Source organism: Homo sapiens, chromosome 16 (assembly GCF_000001405.40).
Source record: "Homo sapiens chromosome 16, GRCh38.p14 Primary Assembly".
Taxonomy (NCBI): domain Eukaryota; kingdom Metazoa; phylum Chordata; class Mammalia; order Primates; family Hominidae; genus Homo; species Homo sapiens.
In genome coordinates this window covers 76,492,185-76,507,378 of record NC_000016.10, presented here as the reverse complement: position 1 = coordinate 76,507,378, position 15,194 = coordinate 76,492,185, and the positions used below count along the sequence as shown (strand labels likewise).

The following is a 15,194-nucleotide window of genomic DNA, read 5'->3' as shown; positions in this document are numbered from 1 at the left end:
AGAATGGGAGGCCAGTAGGAGGTGGGGATGGTTAATGGGTACAGAAAAATAGTTAGAAAGAATAAGACCTTGTATTTGACGACAAAACATGGTGACTACAGTCAATAATAATGTAATTGTACATTTTAAAATAACAAAAATAGTATAATTAGATTATTTGTAACACAAAGGATAAATGCTTAAAGGGGTGAATACCCAATTTTCCATGATGTGATTATTACACATTGCATGCCTGTGACAAAATGTCTCATGTATCCCATAAATATATACATCTATTATGTACCCACGAAAATTTTACATTTTTAAAATTAAAAATTAAAAATGTAAATTGCTAGAAAAATGAATGGGAAAAGCAAAGGTATACAAAATACTATCTCCAGTCCATTTTTTATTACTATTATGTCCAACAGACATAAATTACTCTGTCCAAATGGCAGAAGTCATTCTGAAATACTCTATATTTTTGTACTAGCCTCCTCACAGAATGGTAGCAAAGAATGTGCAGACCAGTACCAGCCTGTGAACCTCACTGGCTGGGGGCAGCACTACATGGAGTGGTCCATGGACCGGCAGCAGCATGTGGAAGCCTGTTAGCAATTCTCATACCCAGGCAGGTGGGGTGGCTCATGCCTGTAGTCCTAGCACTGTGGGAGGCCGAGGTGGGCAGATCATTTGAGGTCTGGGGTTCGACACCAGCCTGGCCAACATGATGAAACCCTGTCTCTACTAAAAACACAAAAATTAACTGGTCCTGGTGGCACACGCCTGTAATCCGAGCTACTTGGGAGGCTGAGGCAGGAGAATCACTTGAACCCAGGAGGCGGAGTTTGCAATGAGCCAACTGCATTCCAGCCGGGGCAACAGAGGGCAATTCTGTCAAAAAAAAAAAAAAAAAAAAAAAAGGAACGGAAGAGAAGCGGAAGGGGAGGGAAGAAGGGAAGGGAAGGGAAGGGAGGAAGGAAGGGAGGAAGGGAGGAAAGAAGGAAAGAAGGAAATGAGGAAGGGAGGAAGGGAGGGAGGGAGATAAGGAAAGATTCTCCTACCCCCACACCCCCTGAATCACAGTCTCTGGGATAAGGAGTGGAAATCTGTGCTACAACAAGCTCTCCAAGTAATTTTTATACATGCTAAAGTGGAGGAACTGTTGGTCTAAAAGACTTTGGATGGTTCCTCAAAAATAAATACGTTCCCACTGCTCTTGGCAGGCTGATTACGTAGGAAATATATAGGTGACTCCTCCTACTCATGACTTTTCTACTAACTGATAAACCCAGATGTTTCCCCTTGATTCTTTCCTTTGACTCTTTTTCTAAAGTTTCTAAAGTCAATATAAGTTAGAAACATATTCAGCACGATTCCAGAAATGTGCTGGAGAATTGGAGAATATCCATATTACTGAAATCTTTACTGTTCCATGAATTTACTTCTAGTGGTCGGTTGTTTCTCTGTTTGTTTTGATGACCCAATTTTGTTTTGTAAGAGACAAGGTCTCACTCTGCTGCTCAGGCTGTAGTGCAGTGGTGCAATCATAGCTCACTGCAGCCTCGAGCTCCCAGTCTCAAGCAATCCTCCCACCTTGACCTCCTATAGCCCTGGGATTATAGGTTTGAGCCACTGCACTCAGCCTCCAATTCTTAAAATTAAGCAAGTATAGCTATGCAAACTGTTATTAACGTTTTTGTTTTGTTTTTCAGTCAGATGTGTTGAATAAGACATCATTTATTACTTATTAAAATATATTAATGTTATGGTAATTTATATAGAGTACAACTCAGCCTGTTTTTGTGTGTAGCTCTAGAAGTTGAAAAGGACCTGAAACCATAAAAACACCACCACCCTCAAGATATGGAACATTTTGTTCACCTGACAAAGTTTTCTTGTACCCCTGTGTAAAATTCCTCTCACCTCAAAGTTCTTGCAGCAGAGATCCTTTTTCTGTTCCTATGGTTTTGACTTTTCCAGAATATCTTAGAAATTGAATCATTCAAAGCATGTAGGCTTTTTAGTCTGGCTTCTTTCACTTAGAGTAATGCAGTTGAGATTCATCTATGTTGTTGCACGTTATCAATAGTCTATTTTTTAATTGTTTAGTAGTATTCCACTGTGTATTGTGGGTACACCACAGTAAAATGGAACGTGTATCCTTTCACTAGTTGATAAACATTTGAGTGGTTTTCATTTTTAGGGGACTATGGAATAAAGCCAATAATAATAACAAAAAACTGACTATATGCATATAGATTTTCCTCTTTTCTTGGATAAAATCCTAAGATGGGGATTGCTGGGTCATATGGTAAATGTGGGTTTAACATTATAAGAAACCAAATTCTTTTCCAAAGCAGTATGTACCATTTTGCATCTGTAGTGCAATGTACCAGAGTTCTAGTTGCTCTAAATCCTTACTAGCACTTGTTATATTTTGGGGTTTTTTTGTTATTATTATTTGTTAAATGTTAACAGTTACATATTGGTATCACATTGTGGTACGAGTTTGCATTCTCCTAATAACTAATGATGCTAAGGATCTTTACTGTGTTTATTTAAATCCATATTTTTTCTGTGATGTGTATGTGCAAATCTTTTGCCCATTTGTAAATTGATTTTTCAAATATTATTGCACCACGAGAGAGTTACTTTTATATTCTGGGTATTAGCCTCTATAAAACATGTATTTTGCAAAGATTTTCACCCAGTCTGTAGCTTTTCTTTTCAATTTCTCGACAGTGTCATTTTAAAGGCAGAAGCTTTTTAGTGAAACCCAATTTATTATTATTTTTATTCTATGAATTGTACTTTTAGTGTTGTATCTAAGAAATCTATGCCCAACCCAAGGCCACTAAGATTTTCCCTTGTATTTTCTTAGAGCAGTGTTATAGTTTGTGGTTTTAGATTTAAGTTTATGATTAATCTTGAGTTAATTTTTGTATCTGCTTTGAAGTATGAATTGACACTCTTTTTTTTTTCATTCTGCTTTTCTTTTTCAATTGGATTCGAATTGTTCCAGATCTGTTTCTTGAAAAATTCTATCCTTTCATCATTGAGTTCCCCTGGTAGCTTTGTAAAAAGTCAAGCAACCATGTATACATGGGTCTATTTTTGGGCTCTCTATTCTATTCCATTCATGTATTTGTCTATTGTAATGTCAATATCACACTTCCTTGAATATCTGTTAGTTTTACAGTAAGTCTTATAATCTAGTAGTGTATCTCAAACTTTGTTTATATTTTTCAAAACATTTTTGCTATTCTACTTTCTTTGCATTTCAATATACATTTAAAGATAAGCTTTCCAATTTCTACTCCCCTCCCAAAAAAGAGATTGCTGGATTTTAATTGGGATAGTTTTCAGTCTATATATAAATTTGGGAAAAATTGACATCTTATCAAATCTTTTAATTCATAAATTTTTAAATATAATTTTCTTAATTTTTTCTTAATAATTTGTTATATTTACACCAAAATATTTTATGTTGTTGGTGCTAGTATAAAAATGGTACTTTTAAAATATCATTTATAATTTTTTATCATTAGCATATAGAAATACAATTTACTTTTGGAAACCATCATTCTCAGCAAACTATCGCAAAGACAAAAAACCAAACATCACATGTTCTCACTCATAGGTGGGAATTAAACAATCAGAACACTTGGACACAGGAAGGGGAACATCACACACCGGGGCCTGTTGTGGGGTGGGGGGAAGGGGGAGGGATAGCATTAGGAGATATACCTAATGTAAATGACGAGTTAATGGGTGCAGCACACCAACATGGCACATGTATACGTATGTAACAAACCTGCACATTGTGCACATGTACCCTAGAACTTAAAGTATAATAATAAAAAATATATAATTCACTTTTGAATATTGACCTTGAATCCTGTGACTTTGCTAAACTCACTTTTTAAAAATATAATTTGAGATTTTCTACCTAGAAAGTCATGTTACCTGTAAACAGACATTTTATTTCATTCATTCTCACTTAAGGTTGGTGCAAAAGTAATTGCAGTTTTTGCCACTTCTTTTAATGGCAACCTGATTTGCCATTAAAATCAGGTTGATTAACTTTTGCTGCAACTTAATAAATGCCTTGAATTCCTCTCCTTGACTTATTACATGTGCTAGGACCATGAGTAATAGATTGAATAGGAGTAGTGAGAGCAGACATTCTTGCCTTTATCCTGAACTTAAAGGGAAAGCAGTTATATCCTTGACTATTCAAAGTATGACATTAGCTATCAGATTTTCACAGATGTCCTTTATGCCATGGAGGAAGTTCTCTTATTTCCTAGTTTGCTAGTTGATTTCTGATATCAACAATAATAGCAGCAGTAAAATGAAATTGAAAACAAAACGAAAAGAAAGCTTTGAAAAAAGACAACATAAATAAATTGGGGTAACCTCATAACCGGTACTAGTAGGTCCAACAGTCATGTTTTATTTGTCCTGCTTTCCCACAACTTCACCTTCTTTCCTAGAAAAACATGGCTGATCTACATTTTTCAATATCTCTCGTTTGTGTGAGAAAATGAAAATACTACTTTTTTCATTCTCACTTTTTTTTCTGTTAAAAAAAAAAAGTGTTAATCTCCTGTCTCAATGAATGACACTAATGGCTTTATTCAAATCAGAAAGCTGGAGATCATCCCCAAGGCTTTAACTCTCAATCTTACATCTAAATCATATCGAATTTACCTCGTAGTTGATCCCCCTTTTAAAGCTCCATGCCAATCATTGCCTAGTTCAAGCTCTCATCTTTTCCTTGTCTTACATCAGAGGTCACTTGACTGATCTTTAGATTTATAACTGATCATCAGGCTTTCAACTGAATCATGAGAATTAAGTTATTTCTCAGTCTTAAATTATTCAATGTGTAGTCCTGATGCCTTCAAAGTAATGTCCATGCAGCTTTTCTCTGCTTATAAGGCCTACCGTGCATGATCCTCTATCTGTTAGTCCTATATCTGTCCAGTGAGCCTCACTTGGAAATGAAAAAAAAAAAAAAAAAGTACCTATGGCGTTGTAACTTAAGTGGTACAGATTTCCCATATGGAAAAAAGGAGTATTCGCTGTTCTGAAGCCACTGCTCATCCAACTGAGAAAATAAAGAACGCTTCATGCAGAAAATAGTCCTTAGTCCTTAGTCCTTCATGCAGAAAATAACCTCACGTGACGATGAACCTCAACGCTAAAAATAGGTACAGGAGGCAAGAAGACCAATCACTTGATTACTGTTTAATTAATAAGTCAGAGATTAATTAGTGGGTCTCTAAATACTTGAAACTATTTGTAAATTCTTTTTTTTTTTTTGAGACGGAGTCTCGCTCTGTCGCCCAGGCTGGAGTGCAGTGGCGGGATCTCGGCTCACTGCAAGCTCCGCCTCCCAGGTTCACGCCATTCTCCTGCCTCAGCCTCCCAAGTAGCTGGGACTACAGGCGCCCGCCACTACGCCCGGCTAATTTTTTGTATTTTTAGTAGAGACGGGGTTTCACCGTTTAGCCGGGATGGTCTCGATCTCCTGACCTCGTGATCCGCCCGCCTCGGCCTCCCAAAGTGCTGGGATTACAGGCGTGAGCCACCGCGCCCGGCCGTAAATTCTTAGTGCTAATGTAGTAGCTCCCCTCTGTATTCCCATGGTCACAGTAGTTCAAAGCTCTAGTTTCTCAGCCTCAGTACTACTGACATTTGGGGCCAGATAATTCTTCTCTGTGGAGAGCCGTCTCATGCATTGTAGGATGTTTAGCAGCAAACCTGACCTCTCCCACTACATGCCAGTAGCATCCCACTCCCCAACAATGTGATAACCAACAATGTCTCCGAACACTGCCAAATGTCCACTGCAGGGCAAGATTGCCTTGGATGGAGAATCACTGCTCTAAGTGGAATGATGTTGTGTGCTTAAAATGATGACAGGAAGTCTGGGAGAAAGAAAGTCTAAGGGAGAGAGTTGGTAGGGACCTCACTTAAAACATACAAATAGGCAGGGGTTTTGGCTAATGAAATAAGGAAGGCAGAGGAAGCCAGCCTGGGTCCCTGCAGGGTTAAGATCAGAGCAAGAAGTGAAAGGTACACGTGATGTATAAAACAACTTCTCTACAGCCATGAAAAATCGTTACACTCTCCTGGATGCATCCGAAGTTTACAACCTCATCTCTTTGCACATAATTTTTCTTCCCATGAAATATCCTATATCATCTTCATGGGATTGTGTAAGGCTCACTGGTAGAACAGGAAGTAGAGGTGATACATATCAGAGATGGTGAGTATAATGGTAAACAGTATTTACAATGTATATATAATTTTTAAGGCCAGTATCATCTTTGCTTTTTAACTAAGCAACTTCTGCTCTGTGTCTCCATAAATCCACTGAATTATCAGATTCCCTCTTATTCTGTTGTGCCCCTAGCATAAAATTTTATTTTAAGGCGTGGTGTTAATGTAAACAAATATTTCATCTATTTCCATTTTAAGTTCTGGAAGTACTAAAAGCATACATATTTAATGCACTAGTCGCTAATCTAACTATTTTCAGAGAGGTTAACAATCTATAAATGAATACATATGCTCATTTCATTCCCTGATCAAAGAAAATATATATATATAAAACATATATATGTATATATGGAACATAAATATAGTGGAACTATATTTGAACTTTAAAATTCTGGTTTAAGGTGTTAATGCATTGCATATGCAAAACAGCATGCACCACTGGTTTAAAGTAAATGCACACAGACACACACACACACACACACACACACAAACTGGAAAAAAAAAAAGAGATTTACAGGTGAAATATATTTGGGGTTAAAATGACATGATTCCATTGACATTCTAATTTCATCCCAGGCCTAACAGTAGGAAATTCACATGAATTATTAATAACTGTGTTTAGCACTGAGGCTTTCCTATGTGGGTAACAGCAATTAGAAATTCAGGAATGCTGGAATGTACTCATGAACTAATCAAGTTGAGATGCCCAGTGGTTTCTTTCTCTTAGAACCTTAACAAAGTTTGCCATCATAGCTTTGTACCTCATAGGAGTACTTATTTGTTGACTGACTGAAAGAGTATTTCAGACCGTACTTAAAAATGTTCACAATACAGCCCCCGCCCGGCCAGCCGCCCCGTCCGGAAGGTGGGGGCAGCCCCTGCCAGGCCAGCCGCCCCGTCCGGGAGGGAGGTGGGGGGCAGCCCCCGCCCAGCTGCCACCCCGTCTGGGAGGTGGGGGGCACCTCTGCCCAGCCGCCCCGTCTGGGAAGTGCGGAGCCCCTCTGCCCCGCCGCCACCCCGTCAGGGAGGTGTACCCAACAGCTCATTGAGAACGGGCCATGATGACGATGGCGGTTTTGTCGAATAGAAAAGGGGGAAATGTGGGGAAAAGAAAGAGAGATCAGATTGTTACTGTGTCTGTGTAGAAAGAAGTAGACATAGGAGACTCCATTTTGTTCTGTACTAAGAAAAATTCTTCTGCCTTGGGATGCTATTAATCTATAACCTTACCCCCAACCCCGTGCTCTCTGAAACATGTGCTGTGTCCACTAAGGGTTAAATGGATTAAGGGCGGTGCAAGATGTGCTTTGTTAAACAGATGCTTGAAGGCAGCATACTCGTTAAGAGTCATCACCACTCCCTAATCTCAAGTACCCAGGGACACAAACACTGCGGAAGGCAGCAGGGCCCTCTGCCTAGGAAAACCAGAGACCTTTGTTCACATGTTTATCTGCTGACCTTCCCTCCACTATTGTCCTATGACCCTGCCAAATCCCCCTCTCCGAGAAACACCCAAGAATGATCAATAAATACTAAAATAAATAAATAAATAAATAAATAAAAAAGAACTTGGAGTTTTATCTAGAAAATTAGCTCTATAGAAATAAACAGCGTTGTAATAAATTAGTAGGAAGTCTGGCTGAATTACCAAATCTAGTAGCCATATTGAGGGCAGTGATAGGCCTTTTCCATTCTTAACTGGTCAGTGTCATATTGAGGTCTACAGTCTCAAACAGGGGTATAGTGGCTGGAGAACATTCAGAGGTGAGTGACTGGAGGTATGAATGGACTTTAATCATGTCACATGAAGAATGGTTGAAGGAAATAAATGTGTCTACTCTGAAGATTATTCCAAGGGTCATGATAGTAGCCTTCAGATAGTTAAAGAGTTTTTTTAATTAAAAAAATTGTGCAGGAGGCTGAGGCAGGAGAATGGCGTGAATCCAGGAGGCAGAGCTTGCAGTGAGCCAACATCGCGCCACTGCACTCCAGCCTGAGCAACAGAGCGAGACTCTGTCTCAAAAAAAAAAAAAAAAAAAATTGTGGTAAAAGATACATAAAATTTGAAATTTTTACCATTTAAGTGTACTTACAGTTCAACTGCATTATGTCCATTCACACTGTTGTGTAACCATCACTAAAACTCATCTTTTCATCTCCCAAATCTCTGTACTCATTAAACTGTAACTTCCCATTCTTTCCTGTCCCCAGTCCCTGGAAACCACCATTCTACTTTCTGTCTATGAATTTGACTACTAAAGGCACCTCATGTATGTGGAAACAAACAAAAAAAATGTTCACAATAGAAGTCTGATTAGTTATTATATGATAGAAACGTGATGCTTAAGTGATGGTACTTTAAGTCATGGTTCTTTTCTCAAATACGGTTTCAACACATTGTAACCACTTACTGTCTCCCTGGCAGAGCAGAGGCCCCAGTTTATAAGCTGCTTCTGAATGCAGTCGGCCTGTGTCTGTAATCACGATCTTAGTTACTGGAAGATGTTCTTTATAAGCAAGCAATCCAGTGTCATTGGTCCTAAAAAACAATAGCAACAACAAAATTCTTAAGAACTTTTAATAGTCCTTATTGCATTGCAAAACCAAGATGTTCTGAACTAAATTTGCACCTACAAAAGAGTATGGATCCAGTCACTCATCGGAGCACATAAAAACAGAATGACATTTGATTTATTTACTATTATTATTATTTTGAGACAGGGTCTCACTCTGTCTCCCAGGCTGGAGTGCAGTAGCACAGTTTTGGCTCAATGCAACCTCCTCTTTCTGGGTTAAATCCATTCTTGTGCCTCAGCCTCCCAAGTAGCTGAGATTACAGATGTGTACCACCACACCCAGCTAACTTTTGTATTTTTTGGTAGAGTCAGGGTTTTGCCATGTTGGCCAGGCTGGTCTTGAACTCCTGGCCTCAAGTGATCCACTTGCCTCAGCCTCCCGAAGTGCGGGGATTACAGGTGTGAGCCACTGGGCCTGGCCAAAACATAATGACATTTAAATGTCTCTTGTAGAAAATATGTAATAGAGAATATAAAATATAGCATATGTTAAAAATAGAACACAGTTGGAGATTTTTTAATTCAATGGACAATTTTCTACCTTTTTACTGGAATTGGTTAATACATTAACATTTAGTGTAATGATTGATACTGCAGTTTGAGGTCTACCATTTTGCTATTTCTTTTGTTTCCCCCATATGATTTCTTTTTTATTTTTTGAAATGTTGTAGCATTTTATTTTATTTTATTATACTTTAAGTTCTAGGATACATGTGCAGAACATGCAGGTTTGTTACTCAGGTATACACGGGCCATGGTAGTTTGCTGCACCCATCAACCCATCATCTACATTAGGTATTTTTCCTAATGCTATCCCTCCCCTATCCCCCCACTCCCCAACAGGACCCAGTGTGTGATGTTCCCCCCCATGTCCTTATGTTCTCATTGTTCAACTCCCCCTTATGAGTGAGAACATGCAGTGTTTGGTTTTCTGTTTCTGTGTTATTTTGCTGAGAATGATGGTTTCCAGCTTCATCCATGTCTCCACAAAGGACATGAACTCATCCTTTTTTATGGCTGCCCCCCATATGATTTCTTGTACTTCCATTTTCCTTTGCTGCCTCCTCTTGGTTTATTCCATATTTTTTGTATTTCATTTTATTTTCTTTATTCACATTTTAGCTATATTTATTGTATTTCAATGTTTGCTTTACAGATTACAAAGTAAATTCTTAATTTATCACAGTCTATTTAGACATTATGTTTTTTAACAATGTGAAATGTCAGAAGCTTGCTAAGACATAATTCATTTAACGCTGCTCCCCTCCACACACATATTCTTTTATCTATTGCTGTAATATATTGTAAATCCATATGTTATAAACTTTATAATAAAAGTAAACAGTGAATTTAATTTTTTAATTAAGAAAATAATTTAAACACTGGCTTTTATATTTACCAACATATTTGCAATTTCCAGTGCTTTTCACTTCTTCCTGAAGATCTGAGTTTTCATCCATTATTTCTCTTTAGCCTGAAGAATTTCTATTAGAATTTGTTATTTCAGATGCTCTTTTCTATTCTAAAATTTACCTTTGGTTCCATATTACAGTTCTCACTTATCTACTTAAAATACCCTTTGTTTACACATTGTGATTATTTTTACCTTTAAGTCTTCAAATATTTTTATAATAGTTGCTGTAAAGTTTCTTTCTGCCAATTCAAACATCAGTACCCCAAGGTTGGTTTGTAATAACTGCTCTTAATTTCTTGACTTTAGATGAAAATGTACTCTTTTTTGAATATTCAGTAAATGTTATAACATGCTGGATATCATGGATACATTGTAAAGATTCCAGAATCTTTTGTTATTCTTTAAAGATTTCATTTTTGTTTTCATAGGCAGTTAAATCACAGCCTTATCACAATAAATTGCCATTGTTTGGTTTGATAGTTCATTAGGTGGAGCCTGTGTGAATTTTGCTTAATTTTCAATCCTATCTCTATATCTGGGATATTGTCTTTGCTGTAAACACATGGGCAGTTTCTGCCAACATTTGGTTACTTTCTGCTTATTTCAAGTAGTTGTTTTTCTAACATTTTTTTCCTGGATTTACAACAATTATCTGAGAAGGGTTAGCTCTATGCAAGTTACTTCACCATTAGCGGAATTTAATACAAGAAGTTTTATAATCTTATTTTTAAAAGTCATTTTTAATTAGCAATATGTTATGGAGGCATTGGAGAGTTATTGATGATTAGGTAATTTTTATTGTTGCTAAGCATTACTACTAGCATTTTATGAACATTTTAAAATACAGTATTACTGTGTAGGTATTTTTTTGTGAAAGTAGTGATAAGAAAAGGGTGCCTTCCAAAGGGAGTAGAAATTTGAAAAATGAGAGTTTAAGTAAGAGAGACAATATTCTTCATACCAAACATGTAACACTAAAAGTAAGTGCAATTCTAAAAGAAATACACGCACACACACACACACACACACAACATAATCTTGATGTTTATGATATAACATAATCTGTTGTATGATATAATCTTGATGTATGATATAACATAATCTTGATGTTTCCCAACTAAATGAAATATTAGTTTCCCAACTAAATGATGTTTAGTTGATGTGATGGGATTTAGTTGATGTTTCCTAACTAAATGAAATATTATCTAATTCAAATTATGACCTACATTAACAGATTTATCACTGTAATCAGTATGCATTGTGTAACAAAATCACTCATATTACATCCAGATTGACTATGAATATTTGTTAAAAATAAGCCTTCTGTACAGGTCTAGTTGCTTAGCAATGTAACATATACGTTATGCTGAAATGTAAATATAAACATTTAAAATATTTTCACTTTACAAATAATAAATAAGAGCAGTATACATGCCAACTCTAGTCTCAAATACTATCAATGTCTTTTTTAAACTTTTCAGACAAAGAACACATGCATAAGATTCTTCTCTGCTTAGAGGAATATTTTAAATTTGATTTTAAAATTCCTAAAATGTTACAGATCTATTTTTTCAAAATATAATCCACAGAACATTAGTTCTTTGTGGTATGATTTGTCTTTTTAAAAATATAAAACAATTGCATGTTAAAATAATTGTAGTAAATTCTAAGTTGATAATTTTAAAGCTTTTATAGGTAGACTATTGAAGAAATGTGCTTTGGCTGTAAACATATTTTTAAGATAATAGAATATCTACTTATATATAGTTTTAAAAGGAATAATAATTAATTCCCCATATAACAGGTGTCTCTGTTTGATTATAAAATTAAAATATACATGACTTATGGTCCATTACAGAAAATAACTCAAAAAGGCATTGACTTAATACTAACGATTATATTGACTACACCACGTTTCATTAAAACAAACCTTTATTTAATTACTTCATTGCACTAACTTGTTCAGTATCTGGCTAGCTATACATACTTTGAGTGATTAATTTTTTTAAATGAACTTTTTCTTGCATAAAGAAATCATATGGAAATCACCATTCATTCCGGTCAGCATCACAATTGCAGTAATACTGAGAATCAATGCAGTTTCCCTCTAATCCACAAGTACATTTTTGAAGATCAGGCGAAGAACCTCCCCAGTAGGTTTGCGTTTCATTGGTTCTTCCTACCCACCAACTCAGAGGGGTTCCATCTGAAAGAAAAACGTGAAAAATGTGACATCTGTTTTATGTTCCACCACCTTCTCTCCCAATATAATTCCTTTTCTTCCAAAATCATTAAAAAGAATAAAAGGAGAAAAGGAGAAAGATTGATTGGATTTAAGGATATGCAAAACAGTATGATTGCTGGCATTTCCTTAAGAACACTTTTTTTATAAAAAAGTTATTATTTAGGCTTAAATGACCAATACATTTGTTTTTGGGTAGAAAAGAAACCAGCAGTTCCTATTTAATTTAGGCATGATAGTAAAAAATGAATTGAGAGCAGCTCACATATGCAATTTCTTTAAAAATAATTTTGAAACAAGTTAGCATCAAAATATAAATCATAGTAATTAACATACCAAAGCAAAATTGATTTGAAATCATGAAATGCCCATTAAAGCATTATGGAATGTTATGTAAAGTCCCTGATTTATCTCAATAAATTTATTCTCTAAAAATATCCTAGCTGTTAAAAAACGTTAGGCATGATTTGGCACTCCCTTGTCATGATTTAAGATTTATTTGGAAGTATATATTTTATCTTCCATTTAATGGCTTGGCTATTTATTTGAAGACTACAGAAATAACACTGAAAAATCTTCATGCTGGAAGCGAATATTACACTCAATGGAAGTTTCCCTCAGCCAAATGCATCTCTTCCTACGATAAATGTTCAGCTACCAGCTCCTTCTCAGAGTTAAGACTAAACACGATGCCAAGTAACTAGAGCAAGGAACAGACAGAACATCTAGGAAAGGATTTTCAGAGAAGGACGTGAAGCATGTAGCCAATCTATCATGGAAAAAAAAAAAGTATGGAGGAAAAATTGTAGTCATCTGAGAATCAGGGCATGAGAAGAATGTAAGCAACATAGAATCAGTCAGTTTCTCAAAGGTGCTTGACCATTTTTCTGTCGACTTTCAAACCTTCAAGTTGTCACCATTAGCCCTACTGAGAATCTGGGATTTTTACTAATTTCTCCCTTGCTTATAAATGCCAATGCTCATTTTAACTTACTATTAGATAGCCCCATGCTAATGCTGACAAGCTCTCTCCCAGGGTTACTATACATGCCAGTCTGGCCACGTCAAAACAAAAACAAAAAACCAGCAAAGAGTTATTAGAAGCTGTGTTATGCATAAATGCATTAATATGAAGAATCTTCGTCTTTTTTTAATTACATGATTAGCCCTTCACCAGAAGGTGAAAATTGCTTGAAATACTTAATAAATATATTTCAATATACTGCTTAAAACATTAAGTTTTCATAGATTAAAAAGAAAAATAGTTATTCTTAAATACTGAGCCATATTCCCACATCTAAATTTCATGTCTTCCCTATAAAATAGAAATCACTGAATGTTTTTTAAGGTATAGACTGTGGTTCAATCCAAGACTTTAAAAAAAATACTAAGGAATTTAAATAAGTAAAGGAATGAATTTTTAAAACCCTGAGAAATAAAAATTAAAGGTAAAAAATACCCGTGGATATGGTAGAACATTCCACCTCCCATAATTACTTTCCTAAATGACTTGAGCATTCCCATTGATCACCCTTCCTGTGTGCTGAGTCACAGATCCTCAGCAGCAGAAAACATATTTTCATACACATTTCACTTTATTCATTCACATATGGCATCATTATCACTTGACACTAAATCACCAAGATCTGAAACTCCAAATATAGCTTGTCTGAAAACAACTTCCTGTTCTACCCCATTATATTTCTTATTGTGACCTCAGAATCCAATTGTTCTGTCTCTTTTAACTCTCTCCACTTCAAATCTATTCCACACGAATCATGAGGTCACCAATCTGAGAAAAACTTCTGTATTTAGTCATGTTCCATGCCTTTCTAGATCCCCTCTTCCATGCCTTTCTGGAGTTGACTTTCTAAAACTGGTTATTGAGCCTGAAAGACCAGGGAAGCATTAAAAAAAAAAAAAAGTGTGCAAGCACAACTGGCCTTAAAGGTGGGGATTCCTTCACATTCTGTGTCAATCCCTGTATTAGTCTGCCTTCATGCTGCTAACAAAGACATACCTGAGACTGGGTAATTTATAAAGAAAAGAGGTTTGATGGACTCATAGTTCCACATGGCTGGGGAGGCCTCAAAATCATGGCAGAAGGCAAGGAAGGGCAAAGCCACATCTTACATGGTGGCAAGCAAGATAGCTTGTACAGAGGAACTCTCATTTATAAAACCATAAGATCTCATGAGACTTATTCACTGCCATGAGAACAGTATGGAGGAAACTGCCCCCATGATTCAATTATCTCCATCTGGCCCCGCCCTTGACACGTGAGGATTATTACAATTCAAGGTGAGATTTGGGTGGGGACACAGCCAAACCATATCAAGCCCTTTTACTCTGTGTGGTGTTTGCTCAACACTCTCTCAGGGATTTTGCTTTCTGGTTCTGTTACAGCTTGACTTCTTTGTCAACTTTGATAACCATCCTTCTTTTGTATTTTCTTACATTTTATTTTTCAGCTTCGCAGTAAAATTGACAAATAAAAATTGTACACATTTAAGGTGTGCAAAGCAATGTTTTGATATACACTGTGAAATGATTACCACAATCACACTAATTAACATACCCACCACTTAACATAGCTACTTTATATTTTTATGGTGAGAATACCAAAATCGACTCTCTTAGCAGATTTCAAGTATACAATACATTGTTGTTAACTATAGTAATCATTCTG

The 15,194-nt window shown here is 36.2% G+C and overlaps 1 protein-coding gene across 15 annotated transcripts in view; it reads right to left on the bottom strand.

The window, feature by feature from the left end:
- CNTNAP4 (contactin associated protein family member 4) overlaps positions 1-15,194 on the bottom strand; it is a 283,357-nt gene that overhangs the window by 53,379 nt on the left and 214,784 nt on the right. For all 15 annotated transcript variants that reach the window (NR_136216.2, NR_136210.2, NR_136213.2 and 12 more), the window contains 2 exons: positions 12,313-12,469; positions 8,685-8,812 (listed from right to left, as the gene is read on the bottom strand). Coding sequence is in view for 12 of the 15 variants with exons in the window: in NM_001322189.2 (NP_001309118.1) it covers positions 8,685-8,812; positions 12,313-12,469 (285 nt within the window). In the remaining 3 variants the exon portion in view is untranslated. The remainder of the gene's footprint in view (positions 1-8,684; positions 8,813-12,312; positions 12,470-15,194) is intronic.